The 12,724-nt window shown below is 33.5% G+C and overlaps 1 long non-coding RNA gene across 1 annotated transcript in view; it reads left to right on the top strand.

Moving 5' to 3' along the window:
• The window catches only part of LOC105374029 (uncharacterized), a 65,172-nt gene that overhangs the window by 32,843 nt on the left and 19,605 nt on the right, over positions 1-12,724 (top strand). Inside the window, exon 2 of the long non-coding RNA XR_001740467.2 lies at positions 506-1,323. This is a non-coding gene — a long non-coding RNA (uncharacterized LOC105374029). The remainder of the gene's footprint in view (positions 1-505; positions 1,324-12,724) is intronic.

Below are 12,724 nucleotides of genomic sequence, written 5' to 3'. Positions count from 1 at the left end.
AGGTTTCTGATTTTCCTTCTCAGCTTGCTCCTTTTTTTTTCCTAATTAGATAATCACACTTCTCTTTCTTTATAAATTTTCATTTCCTGAAAAGCCAGACCATCCTTATACAATCACACCATCTTCTCCCCAGATAGCTCTAAAATAAAGCCTATTGCAGCCAAATCAGTATCTTGGATAAGCTCAGTTACTTCTTCCATTTGATAAAGCTGATTTTCCACTTTGAAATATAGTGCACTGCAAATAACCTGAAGTGAGAAATAAAATGATGTAAGGTAAAATGAGGTGACATAAATACAATGATCTACACACAAAATGTGGCTTTCTATTGTTGTAAGATTTCAGAAATCCTACAAAGATGATCAGACACTTTGGTTTAATTATTTCCTCTTATACCATTAAAGGCAAATTTGACGTTTGTATTTTCTAAACCACATTATTACTTGAACATTAGCAAGTTCACTTCCTTCCTTCCTTCCTTCCTTCCTTCCTTCCTTCCTTCCAGCCCTCTGTCCTTCTCTGGAATAAGAACTAACCTGAACAACAGTAACAACAATACAAACAGCTATGAAGATTATGTATAGCTGGAGGCTACAAGCAGGTAAGGTGTGAAGGGATATAAAAATTAAAATAACCTATTTATTATTTTTATTTTCAAAAATCAATTTATTTAGTGAGTTTGTGTTATTAAATGATGAAAAAAATTACAATGAAGGGCTAAGGGCTTTCTACTTAGCTTTAGTTTAATAGTTTCAGTTTTCATTTTCAAATGAAGTGTTAGTACTTCATTTAATCTATAACAACCATGGAATGTGGTATCATTAACATCAGTTGAAAAAGTAAACTAAGTTTAATTCATGGTAATTCATGAGACGAATTCATTGACCAGAGGAGGTCAAAGAGTCATGGTTCTTAAAATGAATGTTGTAGTCCTCTGCCTTTCGATAACCTTACTATGATCATTTTTATGTAAGAGGCAACTAAGCCGTAAGTGGGTAAAAAGCATAGATTTGCTCAATTTCTAACCTGTTTTTTTCATGATACATGCATCATCCTAAACTATTCCTCAAATTTATCATTTAATCTCTGCTTTAACAATTTAGTGAGCTGAGGAAATTATAATACCATTTAAAAATAGCATAATCATTAGAAATATCTTCTTTATGTTGACCTAAAATTAACTTCCCTCCTATCCCTGGTGATGCCACTCATATTGCCAAAACTAGATGGTGACCAAACCTGTCAGATTGTTTTTTAAAGATGCTGAGGAGCAGATTTCTCATGGGGAGCACCTTCTGATACATTTTAATACGTTTCTTACAGGTATGTACATATACAGTTAATCCTTGAACATGGGTTTGAAGTGCATGGGTTATACGCAGATTTTAAGAAATAAATGTATTAGAAAATATTTTGGAGATTTATGACAATTTACGAACACAGATGAACTGCATATCCTAGAAATATTGAAAAAATTTAGGAAAAATGCACTTCACAAATGCATAAAATATATGTAGGTACTAGCCTATTGTATCACTTACTACCATAAAAATATATACAAATCAATTATAGAAAGTTAATATTTATTAAAACTTATGCACACAAACACTTAAGGACCAAGTAGAGAGAAATGTAAGCAAATGTAAATATGCAATATTAAATCATAGCTGCATAAAATGAGCTGCCATACACAGTGTATTACTGTCATACTTTTGTAGCCATATACTGTTGCTATCTTGGTGAGCTCCAGTGTTGCAAATTGTATAGTCCATTTTCATACTGTTATGAAGAAATACCTGAGACTGGGTAATTTAGAAAGAAAAAGAGGTTTAGGCTGGGTGTGGTGGCTCATGCCTGTAATCTCAGCACTATGGGAGGCCGAGGCAGGTGGGTCACCTGAGGTCAGGAGTTCAAGACCAGCCTGGCCAACATGGTAAAACCCCATCTCTAGTAAAAATACAAAAAAATTAGCCAGGTGTCATGGTGGGCGCCTGTAACCCTAGCTGCTCGGGAGGCTGAGGCATGAGAATCACTTGCACCTGGGAGGTGGAGGTTGCTGGGAGCCGAGATCGTGCCACTGCACTCGAGCCTGGGCAGCAGAGTGAAACTCCGTCTCAAAAAAAAAAGAAAAAAAAAAAGAAAGAAAAGGAAAAGAGGTTTAATGGGCTCACAGTTCTGCATGGCTGGGGAGGTCTCACAATCATGGCGGAAGGTAAAAGAGAAGCAAAGGTATGTCTTAAGTGGCGGCAGGCAAGAGTGTGTGTGTAGGGGCATTGCTCTTTATAAAACCACCAGATCTAGTGAGACTTATTCACTATCATGAGAACAGCATAGGAAAAATCCATCTCCATTATTCAATTACCTCCCTCAAGGTCCTTCCCATGACACACATTATTTTGGGTGGGCACACAGCCAAACCATATCACAAATATTCACTTAAAATGCTGTGTGAAGCTAATCATCTGCATGTGAGAAGTTCATCTTTCCAGTAAATTGTGTATGGCTGTAAAAAGTGATCTCTTGTAGTTCTCCATTTTCATCATGTTTAGTGCAATGCTGTAAACCTTGAATAATACCATGGGATCCATACGTCTTGCTACTAGTGATGCTGGAAGTTCTCTGAAGAAGGAGACAAAAGTCATGACATTACAAGAAAAAGTCAAATTGCTTGATACATACTATGGATTGAGGTCTGCAGCTGTGTTTGGCTGCCATTTCAATATAAATAAATCCAGCTTAAGGACCATTATTTAAGAAAAGAAAATTTGTGAATCCATTGCTGCAGCTATGCTAGCAGGAGCAAAACCTTTGCACTTTTTGAAAAATAATTTTTTATCTTCTATTATAATTGCAGATTTCACGTAAGTACAAGATTGCGTAGAAAAAGCATACTGATAGATTCTGCTAGGATTTGAGAAAAACCTAACATTATATGACAACTTAAATGAAAAGAGAAGTGAAAAATCTAAAGCTGAATAATTTAATGGCAGCAAAGGAAGGTTTGATAATTTTAGAAAGAGATTTTGCTTTTAAAATGTCAAGGTAGCAGGAGAAGCAGCATCTGCTGATGAAGAGGCAGCAAGTGAGTTCCCAGATGCAATTAAGAATAACATGGAGAAGGAAGGATATTTTCCTGAAGAGGTTTTTAGTACAGATAAAACTATCCTAATCTGGAAAAAAAAATCTACAAAGTGCACTTATTAGTAAGAAAGAGATGTGAGCTCAAGAATTAAGGCAGGGAGGGATAGGCTAACTACTGTTTTGTGTAAATGCAGTTGGTTTTATGATAAGCCTGCCTTTATCTATAAAGCTGCTAGCCCATGAGGCTTAAAGGGAAAAGATAAACACTGGCTGCCAGGCTTTTTATTGTACAACAAGAAGGCCTGGACAACAAAGCCCTTTTTCTGGATTTGCTCTATCTGTGCTTCATCCCTGAATCCAGAAAGTACCTTGCCAATAAGGAACTGCCCTTTAAAGGTTTTTTTTTTTTGTACATTGGACAATGCCCCTGACCACCCAGAACCACATGAATTCAACAACATAGGCATTGAAGTGGTCTACTTGCCACCCAACACAATGTCTTTGATTCTGCCTCTAGATCAGAGGTTATAAGGACTTTCAAGGCTCATTAAACATGATATCCTATGGAAAGGATTGCCAGTTCTACAAAAGAGAACCTCAATAGAGAGAAAATCATGAAAGTTGGGAAGAATTATCCTATTGAAGATGCTGTCATTGTTATAGAAAAAGCCTGGAAAGCCATCAGGCCCAAAACAGCTTCCTGCTGGAGAAAACTGTGTCCAGATTTTGTGCATGACTTGACAGGATTTGCGTACAGCCAATCAAGGAAATCATGAAAAAGACTGTGGATATGGCAAAATAGTGAGCAGTGAAGGGGTTCAAGATACAGATGTTGGGGACATTCGAGAGCTAATAGAGACCACACCAGAGGAATTAGCAGAAGACAACTTGGTGGAGATGAGTACTTCAAAACCAGTGCTAGACAATGAGAAAAATGAAGAAGCAGCAATGCAAGAAAACTAACTGACATCAGACAACCTGGCAGAACAGTTCTGATTATTTAAGCCTGCTTTTGATTTTTTTATGACAGGGACCCTTCATGCACCCATGGGTGCAGAAAAAAGTAAATGGTGGAAGAATTGGTACTGTATAGAAACATTTTAAATGCAGAGAAATGAAAAACACAAAACATCAGAAATTATGACGTATTTCCGTAAAGTTACACCGAGTGTGCCTGCTCTTTTGCCTCCCTTCCACCTCCTCCACCTCTTCTGCCTTTGCCATCCCTCAGACAGCAAGACCAAACTCTACTCTTCCTCCTCCTCAGCCTGTTCAATGTGAAGACAACAAAGATGAAGACCTTTATAATGAACCACATCCACTTGATGAATAGTAAATGTAGTTTCTCTTCCTTATGGTTTTCTTTACAATGTTTTCTTTTCTCTAGCTTACCTTATTGTAGAATGTGCTATATAATACATATAAAATACAAAATATGTATTAATCAACAGTTTGTGTCATCTGTAAGGCTTTTGGGCAATAGTAGGCTATTAGTGGTGAAGTTTTTGTGGTGTGAAAGTTATATGTGAATTTTCACTTGCAGTGAGGTTTGGCACCCATACCTCCTATGTTGTTCACAGGTCAATTGTGTATCACAAGTAATACTAGTTAGAAGTATTCAAATGAAAGTATTGCTGCTTGTATTATCACTAAGATTTGGGTACTTATCACTGCCAATAACTTTCACTTCATTTATAATAGTAACATTGGAAAGGAGGCGCTCTCAAATACTTGACGTCCTTCTTCTTTGCTATTTTATCTATTAATTGTTTTTTAATTGTCTTTAAGCTTTCCCTCATTGATCCCTCTCAGAGGTATATCTCTATAACCTAATTGCCCAATATATTCCACATGTAGCTATGTAAATTTATATTCAAATTAATTAAAACTAAAGTTAAATTATAAATTCAGTTTCTCAGTCATACTGATTACACTTCAAGTCCTCCATGGCCACATGTGGCTAGTGACTACCATATGGGATAGTGAAGATTTAGAACAGTTTCATCATTGCAGAAAGTTCTATTGGACACCACTGTTTTAGAGTCTAGCACAGTTTTTGGAAAAATAAGTAAATATCCACTGAATTAGTTTATTAGAAAGCAGAAATCCCATTTATTTCGCCTTCATCAGGGAAAGTGGATTTTAAGATCCAATATAGGAATATGTGTACTTCCAGGGGTTTTGCAGCTGTTGTTTTTCTGTGTTTGCTTTTGTGAGAGGAGGCTTAATGGCATTCTTTCCCCCTATAATCTACTTTATAGACCAAAAATGCAGCTAAGAATGATCATATTCTAAGAACGAAATCTCACGATTCCTTAACATTGATAGATACTCGTGGCATGGTAGTAGTAGTGAGACCTCCAATAAATTATATTTCTCACTGAAGTATATTGAAATAACTCAGTAATAAAAGGATCTGAAGTTTCAATTTCATCATGACAACATTTTTGATGAAATGAAGGAAAAGCTTTGAATTAAGTATGCATATTTAAGATAATAGCAAAGTGGTTACAGAAAAAATAATTGTTATAGAAATATGTTTTTGATGAAATATTCTTTCTTTAACTCTCTCTCATTCTAGAAGTTTTTCATTAAATTCTCCAAAGCAAAAGATCCAATTTAAAGCCTGTCATTTCATCTCTGGTTCACAATGCCTTCCTTAGACATAATACAATTCTCTAATACAAAATATTGTGCACTGGTCATAGATGTCAAAATAATATAATTTATTGTTTTCTTGTCATTGATGAAATCCACTCAGACGTTTCTGTTCACTATATAGATCTGTTTTGGGGGGCAGTTACAATATTAACAAGGAGAAGAAAGTGCTAAAATTCTTTCAACATGGTGCTTGTAGTTTCAACTAAACTGAAAGCAACATCTTATTAAGCCACAGACTAAAGGGGACATAACTGAAGCATGACAAGCTAGAGAAAAGAAAACCACAACCATTAATCTTTCTCTCAGTGTTATTTTATCTAAGGGAATATCTAATCTAGCAGAAATGTTAAAGTCATAGACAATTGATAGAAAAGAGCTCTGAAGTCATGTAGCCAAAATTTGTCATTGGTTAGAAAAGCAAAATAAAGCCACCAGAGATATTCCTAAATCTCAGCAGCTCAAGTGTGAATGCTTCTTACTTATATGGATGCTAGAAAAAAGGTACTTTTGAAATGCTTTCTTGTATCAACAAATATTTATTGAGAATTTATTAGTGTTCCGCCATTGAGGAGTTTTATTCAAAGTGGAGACAGACATAGTTTCAAGGGACATTTAAGTTCAGATAATTATGTTGGTTCTCTCTGTCTCAGAGACACACTCTTTGGCATCTGCTTTTATCAAAGATAACAGGATTGTGGATGACTTAAAAGGGTGATTACTTCATCTTATTTAATTGACACTTTATAAAGTAACACTCATCAGACTTCAACAATAACACACAGTATTTCCTTCATAATTGCTTTAACCACTTGACAAAAATTAGATAATTAGCTCATTGTTATTGTTACTTTTCCATAGGAATCTGTTTAAGATGAAATTACAAAAATTTACCTGAGCAGTTTTTCCTTACTACCTTTGTGTTTACTCCAAAAGAAACTGAAGAAAAACAATCAGATGGAAAGGTGACTTTAGGAAAAATAGGTGAGGACAATGCTAACATTTTCTTAAGGGGCCTATTTGCAAAACTGGTTTGTATATTTCTACCGAATACGTATTGGAAAGAAATTATTCATGCAAAACCAAACCATTACCAACAGAGCAATCTGACAAAATCAGCTTATTCTTAGATATCTGCAAATTGTTTTCATTTTGAATTTTCTTTCAAACCAATCTAGGATAACTGGCTATTGCTAGCATGACCATGTAATGCAGGAAAAGGCGGAAGCAAGTTTTGACAAAGAAATGCATGCGGTGCTAATACATCCTCAACTTAAAAAATTCTATTCCTTTAATGTGTTGCACTTTCACAGCGCAATTTGAACTAATCTTTCCTCCACATTGTCTTTAATACCCTTTCATTCCTCTTTATTTATACTGTGGCTACACAGTGGAGCAATTTGTCACAAAAGACTACTTCTAATAACTTATTAACTCCCTTCTTTGACTCCAGAACTCTGACATAAAGACTTATTGCCTATATTTAAATTCCAGCTCAGAAATGGGCTACCTTGGGGATCTTTGGAAAAAATTTGAATCTATCTTAGCTTTATGTTCTCCCCTGTAAAAGGGGATAATTATAATATAAGTCTTTAAGGATATATAAAGATGAACCTATCCATGTTGGTCTTCTAGCACAGTGCCTATTATGCAGTAAGTGCTGATTAAATTTTAGGTATTAGTATTAGGCATCTCACAATCCCATATTACTTCTCATACCTAGATTAATTTTTATACAGCATTCTATGCATTAACACCTAAAATAAAAACCTTTTAAGATTTTACCTCTTCCCATAACATAAGGTACTTTTTCCTTAGACTTGTATTAGAAGTCCCTATGGGCTAGAATGTCCCTATAGTCTAAAATGACCTAGAGTCCAACAGTTTTCCATGGAAATATCATGGAAATTTTTTTCTCTTAAGGTCTATTTTAGCCAGATGGATCTGTTCAATGTTCCTAAACCGATCCCCTGTAATCCTCTATAATGTGCCTTATAGAGTCTACCTTCCTTTATTCACACAATTACCCACACCTAAATTTTTTTTTTTCTCTGCAAGTCTGAATCCCATTCATTTTCAAGGGTCGGTTCTAGACAAATTGTTCTATGAAACAATGACTACCCACCCCCTCTCCTTAAAATCTGTAGCGCTTCTGGCCGGGCACGGTGGCTCATGCCTGTAATCCCAGCACTTTGGGAGGCTGAGGCGGGTGAATCATGAGGTCAGGAGATCAAGACTATCCTGGCCAACATGGTGAAACCCCGTCTCTACTAAAAATACAAAAAAATTAGCCGCCGCCGCGGCGGGCGCCTGTAGTCCCAGCTACTCGGAAGGCTGAGGCAGGACAATTGCTTGAACCCGGGAGACAGAGGCTGGAGTGAGCCGAGATCGCAGCACTGCACTCCAGCCTCGGTGACAGAGTGAGACTCCGTCTCAAAAAAAAAAAAAAATAATCTATAGTGTTTCTATTGCCTTTCTCTTCATTTGTCATATGTCATTTATTATTGCTGTCTGGCTTTTTCTTTGTTGGTCATTAATCCCAAGATAGTTTGGAAGCTCCTAGAAATGATGGACCATATTTCTCTGTATACACGTACAACCTGGCACAATACTAGGTACAGAATCAGACTCAAATGTTGACCAACGTATTGTTCCTAATATACAATGATCCGTGTAGTGTGTACATTCCACTTAATCTTGGTGAAGTGATGAGTGAATTCTTCTGAAAGCAGTGCAGATATGTGTCAGAATAAAAAAGCAAGGGCACTAAATCATTCAAGAACTGATAATGAAAGCTCTGGAAAAAATGTTTTATGTTTTATTAAAGAGATAGTAATCTTTTTTATGAATACTGTTTTAGGTATTATTGCTGCAACTTTATTTGGAACCAGGCAGATGCTGATGATCTAAGATGATGATAATCTTCACGATAAATGCAATCATTATAAATGTTAGAAACTTGCTGAATATATGTACACATAGGAGAGAGATTTAAATGGTTCTTCCTTCTTTATGTTCTTCTGATAATAAATACGTATAAAACAACATACGCTAAAGTTAATATTTGATTATTGGAAGGGCATTTTGAAATAAAACCCACATTCTCAAAGAAGTTAGATAAGGGAGATCTCAAAGAATATTTTTAGATCTATCTGTTAAAGGAAAAAATATTGAAAAACCTTCTGGAAGATTATGGATTATTTATTTTTTCTTTCATTTTTTTAGAAGAGTCGAACACAGCTGTACTTTCTATATATTTGGGAAATTTCTATACGTTTGGGAAATTGGAGATCTAATAAATGTTGACTACTACACAGCGGCTAGCCTAGTGCTGTGTACTCTAGATCTTAAATTCTTCCAATTGACATACTATTTCATTTCTTTATATATGTATGCAAAAATAATTAATTATAGTGATGATAATTTTCAAACATCTGAAGTAAGTCTCCCTTCCCCACATTAGCCAGTAAAAGAGTGAAGGAGAAAACAGAATATGTTACTGAAATATATGTTTGTTCTACATCAGCAAAAATGGTTAGAAATTAGGAGGTATCTATCAGCTTTGTTCCAGACTTACTTCACGTTATCGTGTTAAAACCGTTGAAATTGAAAATAATTTTTCACATTTTCAAGAAATTTTTCCATTTCAATAGCTTTAAACATGAATCATTCAAATGTTTGGCTAATTACTGTCTGCATTGATGACATATATGTTATTTCATTTGGCATAAAATAATTTTCATTGCTTTACAAATACTGAAAATTCAAGAAATTACCACACCCATTATAGGTGTTTTTCTAACAATTAATTATCTTGATATAACTCAAGTTCTAATTTTATTTTCATTTTAAATTTTACAAAATAGTGATTGCTATTCTCATTAGGTTGTGCTCTTTAAAAATTTAATTTCAATGTTGGCTATCGACTATTTTCCCAAATCATTTTCCCTGTTTAGGGTTTGAGATTTTTGTTTTATAAAATATTATTTATCTTGTGTTCCATTGTTGATTAACTTTAAACTTTCAAAATATATAATATGGCCAGGTGCGGTGGCTCACGTCTGTAATCCTAGCACTTTGGGAGGCCGAGGCAGGCGGATCACCTGAGGTCAGGAGTCCGAGACCAGCCTGGCCAATGTGGTGAAACCCCATCTCCACTAAAAATACAAAAATTAGCTGGGCATGGTGGCGAGCATCTGTAATCCCAGCTACTTGGGAGGCTGAGGCAGGAGAATGGTGTGAACCCGGGAGGCAGAGCTTGCAGTGAGCCAAGATCACGCCATTGTACTCCAGCCTGGGTCACAGAGCGAGACTCCGTCTCAAAAAAAAAAAAGCGTCATATGGAGACTATATTAAAAATATATCATAATTAGCTAATATAGTGCCAACATAATGTTAAATTAACTAATTTAAATTATAAACAAATAAATGCTTAGACACAGAAATTTCCCAACTAAGAACTTATCCTACAGATGCAGTCACAGAGGTATGAAAAGATACATGATCAAAGGTATAGCCAAACAATATTGAGTATTGTTTCTAATATCAAAACTGGAAATACATCTAAGCGACTCATGAAACAAATTGAGAAACTAACATACATTAGACTATTGTGCAGTTACTTAGAAGAATGAGTCAGCATTATATGTACAAATAAAATATAGTAAGATTATATGTAAATAGTAAAATCAGGAAACATTGCAGAACAGGATATATTTTTTGATCTAGTGTGTTCATATATGTTTATATATATTTATATATAATGTATATATATTTATATATAATGTATATATATTTATATATAATTTATATATAATTATATATATTTATATATACAATTTATATATATTTATATATAATTTATTTATATATTTATAAATAATTTATATAATTTATATATTTATATAATTTATTTATATATTTATAAATAAATTATATAAATTATTTATATATTTATATTATTATATATTTATATATAATTTATTTATATATATCATTTATGTGTATTTATATATAATTTATATATATTTATATATAATTGATATATATTTATATATAAACACAACCATAAATTATATATATATATACATATATAAAAACTCATAGACTCTGTCTGAAAGGATCAGCCAAAATGATTAATAATAAATTTATCTTTTAGTTTATCCAAATCACTTTTGAGGATAGGAATTGGGCAGCCTAAGCTTGGGAGTGGGCTAGATTTTTATCTTTAATTTCTTCTATAACATTTTAATATTTTGTTATGATAATAAATTAATTTTATAAGTCAACAACACAACATGATTTAACACCTGTCACTTTTTATAGGTGTTGAGATGTCCGATAGATATGAAATAAGCATCTCCACCTCAATAAATAAAAAGACAGGAATTCGACTCTAGGATTTTTATCAGTTTGTAAGAATAAAAGATGAATGCATTAAGGATGTGAATTTGTTGTATTTACCACTTACAGAAAAATTATGGTCAGCACTTTTTGACATTTTCATAAGAGGACTGTAAAACTCCAATTTCATAAATTTAGAATGACATTTGAAAGTATATCTTTCTGTGTAATTGTGTGGCTTTGTTGTCCTACTGTCAGTTATGATTGACACTTAATAATTAGGTGTGGAGATATAAAAGATGCTGAATTTTTTTAAAGTAGCTTGGATACTGATGGAAATTGTCAATTCTCTTAGAATGCTTGAGCAGAACATCAAGATCACAAGGTTTTTCCAGTTTCTCTGAGTAAGAGAAGAGGTCTCTGTGTTACAAAGGCAATTTATTAAAAAGTAAGAATACCAAATCTATGTGAGTATACATTAAAACACATTCTGCCCAACACATTGGTTATGCTCCTAATGGTTAGCATTTAGAAGCAAAATCTCTTCATTTTAATAAAACCATATGACCCTATTCCATTTGTAAAAATTCCTTATTAATGCTGGATATATTACTTTATAATGTTAAAAGGTATCCATAGTATATAGCAAATAGGGTTTCATCAATCTAAAAAGACTGAAATCAGAATATAACCTTAAATGGAAATGTAGAAAATAACCAATTTCTTTTTTAAGGCACTTAAGCACATTAAGTTAATGATCTCAAAAATTCTAGAACATAAGCCAAGATATATTTGACATATCTGGGGGCAGTTCTGTGACATGATTATGTGGAGAATTCTATTGCTAGGTTCTATTTTTTCCATCCAAAAATATTTTTTTACCGCTTGAAATGGTGAAAAAAATCATTTTTGGGAGGAGCCATCTATAAAAAACTCTCCCACTGTATTATTATTTTAAGATCTTTGTTAACTTAATTTTCTTCAAATCTTTGGTCAAAGTTTTTCAAGAAAACCACCCTTTTGCTCATTCTCAATACCTTGCAATTTTTGTTGGCTTTCAAATGCCACAGAAAATATTTTGATTATTACTTGTGTGTTGTCGTGACAGCCTTATATTTATATATTTCAGGTTTTCTCATTTCTCATTTCCTTTATTACTGCATTAAGTAGATATGACCTCATATCACTATTTCATCTGATTTTAATATCTCCCCTAAGGTCTTCTAACATCCTGTCTAAATAATCAGTAGGAAAAATTTTTTTAGAAATTATCTAAGTGTTTAAAAATCAAATATTTTTAATAGCATTTGAAACATTTTTTATAACATGTAAAACTGATTATGGTGATATTTTTCTGTTAAGTTCAAATCAGGCCTTAGATACATGTTTTTGTTAATCATTATTTATTTGGAAATTGGAAAAGATAAATCACATTGCCTACGAGATACATTGCATACTTATTTCATATAAGAAAGTTAAAATTGGTGGAATTAGGGAAGGAGAAAGAAAAATGAATTAACAAATTATGTGTCTTTTACTGGGTACTGGTTTGGAAATAAGAATGGTATCTGAAAACAGAAGTAACATGAAATTTAATTCAATACTGCAAGAACATGATGTTAGTTTTTAAAACTTTTTTCCC

This window comes from Homo sapiens, chromosome 3, assembly GCF_000001405.40.
Source record: "Homo sapiens chromosome 3, GRCh38.p14 Primary Assembly".
NCBI classification, from domain to species: Eukaryota; Metazoa; Chordata; class Mammalia; order Primates; family Hominidae; genus Homo; species Homo sapiens.
This window is presented reverse-complemented; position numbering and strand designations above follow the sequence as displayed.